General features: G+C 34.0%; 1 protein-coding gene across 9 annotated transcripts in view, besides 1 other annotated feature; it reads right to left on the reverse strand.

Annotated features, from left to right (window-relative positions):
• Positions 480-529: a silencer, noted in NCBI's record as "silent region_17430". NCBI's record gives its function as "represses an Ori minimal core promoter by ATAC-STARR-seq in GM12878 lymphoblastoid cells {active_cell/tissue: GM12878}" and the evidence as "EXISTENCE:reporter gene assay evidence [ECO:0000049][PMID:35858748]".
• Positions 2,371-15,126, reverse strand: part of ATG5 (autophagy related 5) — a 141,285-nt gene continuing 128,529 nt past the window's right edge. For all 9 annotated transcript variants that reach the window (NR_104403.1, NR_104402.1, NM_001286111.2 and 6 more), the window contains one exon: positions 2,371-4,571. Coding sequence is in view for 5 of the 9 variants with exons in the window: in NM_001286107.2 (NP_001273036.1) it covers positions 4,435-4,571 (137 nt within the window). In the remaining 4 variants the exon portion in view is untranslated. The remainder of the gene's footprint in view (positions 4,572-15,126) is intronic.

The following is a 15,126-nucleotide window of genomic DNA, read 5'->3' on the forward strand; positions in this document are numbered from 1 at the left end:
AACCTAAACTACTCCATCCCCTGAGGACAGCACATGACTTGGCATGTATTACTCAGTACACAGTATATACTTGGCAGATGAATTTCAAGAATGACACTGACAAAATGGGAGATATTTGGAGGAAGGAATGAACAGACTAGAGCTATTTTGTTTGGAGATGAGTCAGACGCTTGAGAGCTTCTTTCAAATAGCTAAAGAGTTGTCAGAAAGGGAAAAGTAAGATTTATGCTATAAACTCTAGGTCATTATGAGCTAATGATTTAATGTAGTATTTCCCATGCTAGAGTTCAATAGGAAGCTGTGATACTAGGAAAGAAAAAAAAATTCTATGGTCAAGGAAGTTTGGGAAATGTTGAATTAAATAGCTCTTATTTTCAGAAGTAAAGTTCTAAGCAAAAGCAAGACACAAATCACTCATTTATGAAAAGGTCAGAATTAACAAATACCTCCAGATGCTTGGTGAGAATAGCTCCAGCTTTAGGGGCTGCTTAAATTAGAGTGATGTTGAAACACAAGATATGTGCTGCGGTCTACACTGCAACTAAAATGAATGTGGACTGACGCAAGGATCTGGTCCACAGTGGTTCCTACCGAAAGTAGTCGATTTGAGTAAGCAAGTCTTCATCACTAATGCCAGGCCGAACCAAGTGCACTTTGTATACTGATTTCTAAATGACAAGGTTCTATTTTTATAGCTGGTATTCTTACCAGAAAAATATAACACTCATTATAAAGTTATTAAGTAATCCTTTTTTCCACACTTGCTAAACACCAACTGTGTGCTATATACTCCACTGAGAACTGGGGGAAAAAATGGAAAACGCCTGGTTGTACTTTATTTATCCTTGAGATGTGGAGGTGAGAAAGCTACAGAGGGAAAGCCAAACTAATCACTTTCATAGGAGTCAACTTATACGTCAAAGCGTACTGACATCCCTCAATCTTCAAATTTGTCTTTATCTCACTATATATCATTCTAATACAGTAACATAGTTAATAAAAATGATTTTGCACTTAAAAACCTAAGTACTTAAAGAGCTACCTAAAGGACCTAAAAATTGAGTCTTTCACTCCATGGTTACTATATTGTTCCTACTAGATTTTACAGTAGTACTATATCTGCTCGTAAGCATGAAGAATCAAATTTATAATTCATGATTGATAATGTGAAAGATGCTTTTGTCAAATAAAGCTACATAGTAAATAAATTTTTATAATGTCCAAGTTTTCGCTTAATCTCAAATGATCTGAAAAGAGGCATGCCTCTCTTCTTTCCTCTCTACCATCACTGTAATTTTTAATATTTTCAGACCAGGAGATAAATATATTTAGGAAACAAGAGGATGACAGAACTCAGGCAAGTAGGTATTTTGATGGACTCCATCCATTGATCGACAATGAATAGGTTCAAATATTCCTAAATATGGTCACACTTGATTTTCCTATCATACCCCAAGGTTTTACATTTGTATTTCAACCATGCTGGCACATGTAACAGGAAACCCAACTTACCTCAGACCTAAATATCAATAGTATGATAAATAAAAGTGAGACTGTCATTCTCTGGCATGACCCACATAAACCAAATTTCTAAAAACTGAAGAAAAGGTTACCTCAAATAGCCTATTAAAAAATACTGTAGAAAGATAACCATTAAAAACTACTGTCACACAATGTCAAAGCTTATATATTGTTTTCTCAGATAATGATCAACTCCTAGCTTGTTTCCAGTGTTAAATGTAACAAGACTAGTACACTAAACGAATTCACCTCACACTCAGATTGGAATACGGTTTATACCTCATCATCCTATAAAGACTGATAAGTCAACTTAAACTATAAACAAGTTACTTCGGGTCCCTAAATCTGTAAGAAAATCCTGGTGCTTATCAGTTCAACTCCCCAAACTGAAACGAAGAATAAACACTCTTAATGTGAACAATCATATTCAGACCAGCCTCTTGTGCAAAAATATAAGTCAGTGGATTTTTTTATCCTTACATAACTCAAATATTGCTATTTTTTTCTGCCTTTATTAAAATGGCAATTAGAGTTGAATTCCATGGTCATAATTTAGGTCATCCGAATGAAAATCAACATTATAAAGGACAATGACTTACTTTAATCTGAATTTACTCGTTCCTAGTTAACAATGCCAATATTTAAAAATGTATTTGTATTTTCCTAGGAGGTCACTATTTACTATTAGTCAAATAGGCATATTGGGGGTCTTCTCCAATTTTCTTTTATATTCTCTTCTATATCCCTCCATCCTATTTCTCCAAGAAACTTTTATGACAGTTTGTGACTAAGGAAATTTTAATGATTTTATCAACAGGTAACTTGTTTTAAATAAAGACGGACACAACATTTATTTAATTTTTTAATAAACCATAAAATTTAAATATTCAAATGAAAAGAAACAAAAATAGATTATTTAAGCCAGCATGAATTTCTGGTTTTACTCTTCCTCTAGGGCATTGTAGGCTTGACTTACCTGGGATTAGAGTAATAAAGCTATGATGCTGGTACAATAATGAATGAGGAAGTAAAAATGGGCAATGTCTTCATAAAATTTACTTTCAAATCTAGATCAGAAGTTCACTCAAGCCTACTGCAAAGGCCTGACACTGGTTTTGTCTGTATAAAACTACTCTGGCTTTTTACCACACTTTCTTCATCACAGCTTAGTGTTCCCTGCATTCTGATCCTTTTGCTCACTAAAGCTCACTTCAATCTGTCAAAACATCAAGGGGGAAAATCCCCAAAATGAACCGACGAATAAACACTCTTAATGTGAACAATCATATTCAGACCAGCCTCTTGTGCAAAAATACAAGTCAGTGGATTTTTTATCCTTACATAACTCAAATATTGCTATTTTTTTCCTGCCTTTACTAAAATGGCACTTTCGTTTACATCAACCAATTATTTTCTACTTGCTTCTAAGTTTCTGAGATTGTATGCTGTACTGGCTATTCTTTTTGATTAAGCTTTACAATTTCCATTCCAGAATATCTGGTCTTTGACCAACTTTATCTAATTTTGTGAAGAAATGTGCTATTAATCAGTGAAAATCGCAAAAGGAAAAAGAAAAGGAAGCAATGAACAATAGTAGAATCTCACTTCAGCATTTGTATAATTTTTTATAAGAAAAACATTCATTTTTATTATGGGATCTAAAACCATGATCGTGTCTGATACTGTAAGCCTTTTAGCGTACTCAAATGGGTCAACATTCAATATGGACAGCCAGCTAGCTCACAAGAAATGAAATGTAATGCACAAATATGTTTGACTGGTAAAATCCCAGAGGCTTGGTAATAAAGTGCAGCAAACTTTCCTTATATTGAATAAGAACTCCAGTAACCTCTGGATATTTTTGGTAAAAATTAAAGAAAAGGTACTGCAGTCAAGAGACAGGTAATCTTTAAACTTCAAAAGACTGGCTGCCAGGGACCACAGTGAAAAATTAGACCTGGAGCCAATGAAAAACACTAGCTTGGAAGGAATGGGTTTTTCCAAAAATGCAAAATTAGCATTTACAGATGCTTAGGATACTATGATTTGACAGGCTTACAGTGATAAAACAACAAAGATGAACAGTTACAATATTTATACGTGTAGTGTGTAAAGAACACAGGTTTTTTAATTGGCAGCAAGAAATTCTATGACAGCTTCTGAGACAAGTAATCCTATGCCCTATATCCACCCCATGCCAATGACGACCAGTCAAAATGGTAACACAGAGTAAAAAGTGATCTACTGTATGTGAGTCAGAAAGTACTTGAAAAGTGACAAAACTGTATGTTATTAAATGACAAAACATATTTAGAGGCTTTATTTAAAAATCTCTCACTGTTCATTATCAAAGTTACAAGATTGCATACCAATAGACAGACTGTAAACATAGGAAATTTTCGTTAAGGAAAGATGGGTTTACTGTAATTCAATCTTTTACAAAAAATTACTTGCAAGTTATTGATAACAGAATTTCTCTTTTACTTTCTTAATTCTCTTGAAAATTAAACCAATGTTTCCACTTTCATGAGCTAAAGTTCAACCATGGTCACCTTAGGAAATACCCCTGTTTATTTGTTAATCAGAAATACAAATCGAGTGGCACATACTTCCATTTTCTTCTTAGGCCAAAGGTTTCAGCTTCATTATATTTTACAGAAGACCTTCAGTGGTCCGGTAAGTCTTTCATGTCACAGCTGAGGTTTAATGATGGCAGTGGAGGAAAGCAGAGGTGATGCAAAGTAAGACCAGCCCAGTTGCCTTATCTGACATGGAATCTTTTTCCTGTCTGGCTTGCAGCAGCGAAGTGTTTCTGGTCAGGTTGCCTCCACCAAACCTGATTGAAGCAAAAGGGTGACATGCTCTGATAAATCCCATTTAAGGATGATTCTGTTCAGGCAAATAGTTGATCCTTCAATCTGTTGGCTGTGGGATGATACTAATATGAAGAAAATTATCCGGGTAGCTCAGATGTTCACTCAGCCACTGCAGAGGTGTTTCCAACATTGGCTCAATTCCATGAATCATCACTTGATTCTTTTTTTCCCCATCTATTCCAAGAAAGAAACCCAACAACAATAAAAGTCAAAACAGTTGAAGAAAAAATAATCTGGTGCCTTTTGAGAATCCTTAGTGCATTAAATGGATTTTAAACATGTTTTGTCCCCTGAACAGGAAATGTGGACATGGAGAAAGTTCAAATGTTGCAGTATGTATCACCCAAAACAGAAACCTGAGGGTTACAATATATTCTGATAAAAATTCTGTTGCTGTATGTGAAAGTATTACTTCTTTCTTAATTACTGTGCTTACTTAAGATTGACGTTAATGAAACTGTAGTGGCAAAAACAGCCCATTGTACCAATGACCAAAATTTATTTTAGTTATACATTAAAAACTGTAATATATGGTTATTAAAAATGACAAGTACATGAAGTCGGTCCATACATATTTTGAAAATGTAAAATAGAAATGTGACTAGAAATCAAGAATCAGATCAGTATTTGAGATGTTTAGTAAGACACAGGTGAGCTTTAGTTGTTTTCAGTAAAGCATTCAAGTATGTATCAAAATGTCTTAGAGATACTATTTGAATAACAGTTAAAATTTTAATGAGAAGGGATTACAAATCTGACTCAGGGATTCCTGTTTTAGAGTCATAAAGCCTGACTGATTTTTGTTAACATCCACTTGCTAATTAAAAGGGGGCTGAAATTTACACCTTTCTTTTAAATTCAATTGTATTCCAAATTAAACTTAAGATTTTGTGTTTTTCATGATTTTGGTGTGTTGTACTGACAACTTTTAAAGTAAATATAAAGATTTTTGTCATAGAAAAACAAAGAAAGCAAAGCCAAACTCCTCTAATGAAAAAGAAAAAAAAAATAGAACCATCAAGAAACTTTGTGTTATTCCTTTAGCACAATTCTGGGTTTGTCTCCTTTACCTTCTCTTCAAAATACAATGTCTAAACCTCTCAGCTTCCTGGTGACAGAAGACAACAAGGAAACAGGGAATCAAGCAACTCTATAAAGGAGAAATACCCTACGTTTTCCTTTCTGCTCTGTTCAAAATGACTTTTGAATCTGTAAGTGCTCTAAGGTCTGGGCAAAATGAGCTGATGATGTATGGTGATAATGACTTGGCTGGCACCTGAAACAAGAGACCCTTTTAAAGAAATATTTAGACTTCCTGTTAGAGGCAGCACAGTCCCAGGTGACAGTCAACAGAGGACACAAAATACTACAGTTGATAAAAGAATGTGAAAAATAAAAACTTTAACATACTAACAATTCCAAAGATAACCAAATAAAACATTCCAAACTCCCAAATCACTGTGCCATAGCTTAAAACAATTTTGAAAAAAGGTATCACTTTATAATACTACTAACCTAAAAAAATGCTTTATTTTTTCTTTGTTGCACCTATACATAATTTGACACAGTTGTGACCATAGTGTTAATATAATGATTTGTTTTCATAATGAAATATTAAGCTATATACAGAATACTATAGAAAGCATAGTACCAGTACTTTGGGAAGATTTTTTAAACATTGGTATTGAAATGGAGAAACCCTCAGCTATCTGGAATGATTCATTGCTTATAAGTTCCAGTTTGCTAAAGCTTTACTGTATTAAATCTTTCTTAGAATATTTGAAAACATTTCCGGTATAATTCTCTTCATATTCTTATATTTCTTTGAAATATTTTAATATTCTCAGAATCTTCCTCCTACTTAGCACTGAGTCAAAAAATGAAAGAATAGTGGTGTAAGAGTAAAAGTTCCTTATCTCTAAAGTTTTTCCTTAAGCCAGTCACCTTTGTATACTATGAAACAGCAGAAGAAACAAGTCACAACTCAATATCCAAAGTACTGTATCTAAAGCAATATTTAAACATGGGAGCAAATACAATATGGTAAACAATCCACTGATGATGCACAGTGTATCTGAAAGGCAAAAGACCAACCATGTTACAAAAGGATTGCTGGAGTTTATGAGTTGTACAACAGAAGCTGGAGGACAAAAGCACTATTCAAACACTGTGTAACAAGCCTAATAAATCCCCTTACCCAAACCCTGAATAAGTAGCACTGATTCTCTGGTTTAGAAGCTGGGGCCACTTTTAATTTTTAACATAAAAGCATCACTAACTAAATTTAAGTAACTAAGGAAAGAATCTAAGACTGTCATATCCCTCAACAGAACAGTTTAAGGTTTTAAATATATTATTTTGTCACTGCCTACATATGTCCAAATATCTCACCGGCATTTATGTATTTTGTTTATTTTCTGACTTGCCTCAATAACACAATTTTAAACAGAGGGATTCTTAGAATAGGGCAGCAGAAACTTCAAACCGAAGTTTCTCTCTTATTTGTTACTCTGTCCCCAGTGCCTAGCATGGTACCTGACATATACAGTAATTAGATAATAAATATTCTCATAGCTGGCATAATATTGTTGCTGGTAGAATTATACTGTCAAAATTAATGTTTTTGGAATGCTTTCTGATAGCTAGCCCTACCATGGAGAATAACTCTACCCGTAAAGACTGTTTTGGTTATTAAAACAACAAAGTAAAAAATGTTTCCAGATAAGCCAAATGTATATGCTATCCTTAATTCATGGTACCATAAATAACAACAAAGTATGAAGGACATTTTAGCAATATCAAAACCAATAAAAGAAAACAGGCCAGGTGTGGTGGCTCATGTCTGTAATCCCAGCACTTTGGGAGGTCAAGGTGGGAGGATCGCTTGAGCCCAGGAATTTGAGACCAGCCTGGGCAACAGACCCCATCTCTACAAAAAATAAAAAAACTCAACCAAACAAAGATTAGCTTTAGCTGGGCGTGGTGGTGCATGCCTGTAGTTCCAGCTACTTGGGAGGCTGAGGTGGGAGGATTGCCTGAGCCCAGGAGGTCAAGGCTACAGTGAGCCGTGATGGCACCACTGCACTACAGCATGGGTAACAAGTGAGACCCTGTGTAAAAACAAAAAATTAATAATAAAACAGTAAAAAAAAAAAAAAATCAGTAGATGTCTTTTTCTTACAGTACAAAGGAAACACCTGATACTGTTAAAGTAAACAATATTTTTGGTAAACATGTCTTTTTGTTTCAAAATGGGAATCTAGACCTTAATACTTAGAATGAGAAATGTCACTACAAAGAAAATGACTCAGGAGAAAAATGTTACTGTATGCCTCTCCCACTCAGGTTTTTAAAAAAAGCTAGCTTGAAGCTTTAAGTTAGGCAAACATATGAGAAAAATCAAGTGAACTAGTTCTATATGAACTTCTTTATATAGGGCACTTTTTAGAGAGTAATTTTTGTTATGATTTCAAACTTACAGTGTACCATTTCTAATATAAGATATTCTTTTACATAACTACAGTATAGTTATCACAATAAAAAATACTGATATACCATGATATATAAAATAATAAAATATTCATTGTAGTCCATATTCAAATTTATCAACTATCCCAATAATGTATTTTTCTTCAATCTAGGATTCAGTCCAGGACTGTCTTAGTCTGTCTGTGATGCTATAATTGGATAATTTATAAAGGACAAACATTTATTTCTCACAGTTCTGGAGGCTGGAAAATCCAAGATCAAAGTGCTGGCACCTGGTATGAGCTTCTTGCTGTGTTCTCATATGGAAGAACGTGGAAGTGTGAGAGACAGTGAACCCACTCTTGCAAATCCTTTTCATACCAGCATTAACCCATTCATGAGGGCAGAGCCCTCATGACTTAAACACCCCCCAAAAAGCCTCACCTCCCAACACTGCTGCATTGGGGATTAAGCTTCTAACATGTGAATTCTGGGGGATACATTCAGGTCATGTCAAGGATGCACATATTGCATTTAATTTTTATGTCTCTCTACTCTCTTTTAATCTGCAACCGTTTTTTAGCCTTTTCTACATTTCTTAACCTTTACAATTTTGAAGAGTACATCTCATTATTTTGTATAATGTCCACAAAGCACTTTTAGAAACCAGCATCTACTTAAAAGTGAACATAAAAAAAAAGTTACGTTTTAAGAAAAACATATTCAAGTAGATTTTGGTTATATGATTAGAATGGTAAGAATTACATATAGAAAAAAAATAAGAAGAAAAAATAAAAATCACATTAACCACACAAGTCATTAATGGAAATCACAAAGTTAAAATAATGGTAACTTCTTATGTATATATTAAAAAATGATGCTTACATATAGACATAGATACAATGACTGTTATCAATATACAATAATATAAATGAGACATAAAGGAGAGAGGGCCAATTATGCACCACTAGTTAGCAAGGTACTAATGAAAGACAAATTGGGGGTTAGGCAACTTGAATTCCAGTTCTGGCAACAAAGGGCTCTGAGCAGGTCTCACGTCACTTTGAAGCTGTTTCTTTATATATAAAATGAAGATGCCTATATAGATGTATGGTTTGAAAATCTAGCTGACCATTAGAATCATGTGGGAAATTAAAAGAATATATACATATATATGAGCTGAGCTCCTCTCCAGACTTTCTGAATCAATTTCTGGGGTAAAGTCTTTTTTTAAAAATGTTCCCTAGAATGAATCTTATGATCATACCAGTGTAGAATTTTTCTACAAACAAAATTTTATGTAGAAACCCAATATACAACACAGGTAAAGATATGGCAGCTTTTGCTAATGTGGGATTGAGACCATCTCCTAAGTTCTGCTTGCTGATTTATAACCCATGATAGCTTCTCATTTAACTCTGTGGGTCAGTTTGCAAACTGGTCCAGAGTAGAGGATCACTAACACGTCTCCCAGTTCCAGTATCTGGGTCTTTTACGTCTAAACAGCAAAATATTTCTTTCAGAGTGTAAACCATCATAATTTATTAGTTTTGAATTCTCAAGCAATTCACTCAAACTTCTGTTTCCTCATCTTACAGTGTGAACAAAGAATTCTAATCTCCAGTTACATGAAGGATTAAATGGGATATCCAAGCAAAGTACTCAGCAGCGACCCTAGCACAGGACTTGGACACAGGGTACTCAATAACACGAGTGACTCTTCTCCACCCCTCTCTCCTGCTCACTCTCTAATAAAAAATAATGGTGTCAAAAATGTAACTGATAAAGTATGTGAGGACAGAAGATCATTTTAAAAAGGTCATGATTTAGTAACAAAAAGTAAAGAGCGATTGTAATTCTCTTCCTACACACGTTATAAGAATAAGTTCATTTTTTTAGTACTAGATATATCAAAAGATATATAAAAACCATGGATTCAATTATGTGATTGGCATACAAAGGGCTGTAAGAATTTGGCCTCATGGTAATACCTCCTGAATTATTCAGTTCCATTTTTATGCAGTATGGCATATAATTTTAATAAATGTATTTTTTAAAAGACAACAAAAACCCAGACTCGATGATTATGCAAATTAAATGACATTAAGAAAAATTCTTAAGTATTAGAAACCTTCACGTTTATTTAATAGTGCTCTCAACACATATATTCAAGTGGAGCACATCACCTATAAGTCAAATGAGCCCTAGTGTACTACAGATATATCATTTAATAGACTTTAGGTAAGGTTATTTTTTTTAAAAAAGATGAAAACATTCAGGTAAAAAAAAAAAACCTTTCAAAATCTTTATGTTATACATTTTAAGTATATCATTTGAGAACTTGCACTGTGTGATAAATTTGAGTTCTAAAGATTTCTATTACTAATGGCTACTAATTACCTTTCTCATCCCAATCTGGGTTTTAGGTCTTATTCAACTAAGCCAATTTCAACAAGGAATATGATCTATAAATGTCTTTAAAAACAGGTGACTTGAGATTCTAGTGAGATGCTTGAGTTTCCTTCTTACTATTAATATTTAAAGGAGGCTTAAAGAAATGGATGATGTATCTTTAAGGGAAATTCATACATGTTTTTAACAAGAAAATTTCAGTTTAATTAATTTTTTAAAAGCTCATACTTTAAATATGGAGTAGAAGTCTAAGATCAAATGATATAACCATTGTGTTCAGCTTTGTAGCTTCATATTTATATTTTATAATTCAGCAGAAAATGACTTGATTTGCTATCTTGGAATGTGTAATACTGAAGGTAAAATTTCTGAAAAATACTTAATACTGCCTAGAAGTTTTAAAAAATAGAGCGACGAGCTTTCTGATTACCACTAGCCTGAACAATTTTGTTCTGTCTGACAAATTCTTTAACCTCTGATATGTTCATTAGTAAAACACCAACTAATTGAATCCATCGACATGAAAAACCACAGGCTGAAATGTGAAGTGCATACATCATGCTGAAGGATTTTGTCTCAGCCACGGAGGTAATAGTCAGCGAGGTCAGGTCAAAGAGGGTTAAACCAAGCCAGGATATAGCCAAAGAAATACATCAAACGCTGATTTTAAAAGGGCAATTAATCTTGGACAGAAATGCTTCCTGGGGAATGAGATCTCAATCTTAAGAGCACACTACATGATGTAGCAGTAAAAATGAACATATACAAGCTTACAGGGCTTTTATCCTATGATCACAAACAGAAGGAGAGTGCTGTTTATCAGAAAAATACAAACCCATTTAAAAATACTTACATTAACTTCTTCCGGATGCATACTCACTTAGCAGTACAGGTCTTAATGAACATGCAATATCATAGTATATACCAAATACCAGATATACCACATATCTCTTTCCATGTATACATTTTATATCTTTATTATATTTTCAGAGCTTTGACTCTTAACATTTTAAACAATTTAAAAACATGTCCATATTAATTCTTTCATTGACTTTTGCTTATAATCTCTGTATTTCTTAGTAAGGAGGACATAAACTAAAATTTAAATAATATAAAAAATCCCATATGATCAGTTGTAATTATAAAAAGCAAAGTGTATTAAATTAAGTGATTGTAAGGCCATTTTAAAACTGATTAAAAGCTTCCTGACAATAAGATAAAAATGTGGTAAAAGTTAAAAATTAAACCTTGTTCATTAATAAATACATAAATAAACTTTGAAAACAATATTATTTTATCTGCTTTCATAAAATGACCCAGTAATTCTAGTTGGGTGTAATAGGGTCCATTAATATTTGTCAAGTATGAACTACAGAATAGCTCAACTTACTTGCTTTATTTAAAATATAGACAATAATTGTACTGTTTACATATGGTCAGAATGAAGCCCCATAGTACCTGTTTCAATGAAAAGATAACTTGTTTTTAACTGTCTGCATATACTATTATTTTGGTAAGAGAATTTTGTTTTCTAGTGCTAAAGATGAAATAGTTGTGCAAGTGTGTGTTTCTCATTTTGGGAACAGTCAGGTTAATTCATTTAACTTCTTGAGATTAAGATAACAATAATTCAGAAGGAGAAACCAGAAGCATCTTCTGTCAGTCCAGTAATGTCATCATTTCCAGTAGTGGAGAATGAAAATAATCAGCATTATTATTGCCCAAATCAAATAGCGTGAAGGTACAGAGATACTAGTTCCTTCTAATTCAAATTCTAAATGAATATCTAAAGAATTACTGAAATTGTAAAACCCGCAATCTGATGAGGTTTGGGAATTGGAGTTTTTTTTATTCCTGTGGCATGAGTTTGCAAACTGAGTGCCTATTCTTCCGGGGGCAGTGCCATCACACTGACAAATGTGATTATTGCTCAAATATTATCTCAAATCACGAGATACTAACAAGCTTCAATTTTGTCCAAATACTTAAAAGTATCTGCTTTATACGGTCAGCATGAGATTTATATGTTTCTTTTTCTAACTGCTTCATGTCTGAAAAAAATTTATCTTGTCAACTAATTCACTTTATTAACATAATCTAATCATATACAGCAAAGGAGAAAAAAATGTGAATATACCATTTTTTCTTTTCTTTTTCTTTTTCTTTTTTTTTTGAGATGGAGTTTCACTCTTGGTGCCCAGGCTAGACTGCAATGGCGCATTCCAGGTCACTGCAACCTCTGGCTCCTGGGTTCAACCAATTCTCCTGCCTCAGCCTCCCAAGTAGCTGGGATTACAGGCATGCACCACCACGCCTAGCTAATTTTGTACTTTTAGTAGAGACGGGGTTTCACCATGTTGGTCAGGCTGGTCTCTAACTCCTGACCTCAGGTGATCCACCCGCCTAGCTTACCACGTTGTTATACATTACATTAGAAGACTGGGAAATGAAGTATAATTGGGTAAAGCTTATAGGTGTTTTGTATTCTCCAAGGTAAAAATAAATGTTCTTGATGTGTTATTTTTAATGTACAAAGAAAAAAATATTTCACTCAGGTCTGGCACAGAAGCTTAGATCTCTGAGTCATTTTAACTACAGCTGAAACGACAAAAACAATTTACCTGAGCTCACCTTTGGTCATTTCCTGTTACCTCCAACTTGACTAATTCCCTTAGCCATTTACAAAAAAAGAAAGGAACACACAAAAGAGCTCATCATTAGTTACTCCACAAGCAGCAGCTCATCATTAGTTACTCCACAAGAACAATGACCTAAAGCACGTATTCATAAATACTAGTACATTTGACTTTCATATGATGAAATCAGACAAAATTCTTTCATCACTGAATCACTTGTAGGGAGTAGAAGACAATGGTGCCACATAACTTTTATGAAGTACTTTCTCTTTTCATCATGTGATGACAGCAAGTTCTTATCCATACACACCCAATCTTAAAGTCTTTCGCTTTCAACTTAAGTTGAATGCAGGTGTGTCAAAATGCTTCATGTTTGACACATCTGACAATACTACAGGTGAACTGAACCAGGCAGTAAACAGTTTTTTACTGAAACAGTGACTCGATGTTTTGGATACTCTACATAGATTTTTAAATGACAATTTTTTTTAATACGTAATAAAAAGAAGAAGCAAAGATAAAAGTTTTTTTCTAAAGAAAAGATACTGAGATGTGTTAGAGATGTGGCTTCCTCCTGGTATGAAAGATACCATCAAAAATACCTGAAAAGAATAGGCATTATCTATGTCATTTCAATGAAGTGTGTGTTCTGCAGTCAAGAGAAGCATTTGACAGTTTGCATGGGGAGAAGTCTGTCACACAGATGTACTCACCTACAGCACCTGAAATCACCTAAAAGGAAGGTTTGTGGATTAGGTTGTGTGGCTGCGCTGCCTCACTGCTCCCCTCTAAAAAAAAAAAAAAAAAAAAAAAACCACAAGGGAAGTCACACTGTGTATCCCCTAGAAAAGGATGTACACGTAGAGCAGCCTAGAAATTTAACAGAACAAAGAATCTCTTTTAAAAGAACAGCTTCACAAATTTGTGTGCCTTTCTTGTGTAGGGTCACGTTAATCTTGTCTTGTAACCTGGGTATAAGAGCAGAATAAAGGTGTATTCTGAGAGTGTCAGTTCAAAGCACTTGAATGCTTTTCATTTACGTGTCTGATGTTCATAATCACCATTTAAAAAATTCAACAAGAGTGGTCAGGATTATATATAGGAACACTAAAATAACAAAACAAACAAAATAAAAACAGTAGACACTCAGGTTCCTAAGATCATATCAGAAATATTATTAAGAGAGAAGAGCATGTAGGCAGATTAGATACTAAACACAAATTGAAGACTAAGATTTGTGAAAGTAAAATAAAGAGTAAGGAAAAAGCAAGTATTTCAGAATGTTATTTTAAACTAAACCAAAAAGTTAAAAAGAAAGAAAACAAAAACAAATGGCAGCATAGTAAAGTGGAAAAACCAAAAGACCACCAGGAGATGGAGACCTGTGTTCTAAACCTATTTCTGCAATTAAGTGGTTAAGAGACGTTTGGCACAATCATGCAAAAATTAAGAGAGTGAACTTTGGGAGGCCAAGGTGGGTGAATCACTTGAGGCCAGGAGTTCAAGACCAGCCTGGCCAACATGGTGAAACCCCGTCTCTACCAAATATACAAAAATTAGCCAGGCATGGTGGCACATGCCTGTAATCCCAGCTACTTGCGTGACCGAAGCACAAGATTGCTTGAACCTGGGAGGCAGGGGTTGCAGTGAGCTGAGATGGCATCACTGCACTCCAGCCTGAGCAACAGAGTGAGAATCAGTCTCAAAAAAAAAAAAAAGTAGATTGAAAGTTCTACAGTTATACAATTCTTTAAAGAAGTAAAATACAGTATTAACACCCAACTAATTTCTTCCCACTCTAGGCACTCCTTAACCACACCCACAAACTAGAAATTGGCAACCATGAAATAAAAATGAATTGAACAAATGAATCCATTAACAAAATAAACAATATAAAATTTCAAGTAAGCCCTCTTTCCTGGATTAAAAAGCAACTGTTAACTTTAGTTTTTACAGATAAAACACAAATGTATCAAGGGAGACCCCCCACTTATATAAACTTGGGACTAGCAAATATGGATCATTTTGTGTCTGTGACAATTGTGCTGCTGTTAGGGGACAGATCATTACAGAACACATTACTTCCAAAGTTTTGGGTTTCATTGCAGTGTTCTCATTCTATAGTCAAGGATGTTATAAAAAAGGAAGTTTAAAACAACATATTTTAAAAAGTAGATTGTCGAAAAAAATCTAGGAAAAGTGCAATAAGGTAG

This window comes from Homo sapiens, chromosome 6 (genome assembly GCF_000001405.40).
Source record: "Homo sapiens chromosome 6, GRCh38.p14 Primary Assembly".
NCBI classification, from domain to species: Eukaryota; Metazoa; Chordata; class Mammalia; order Primates; family Hominidae; genus Homo; species Homo sapiens.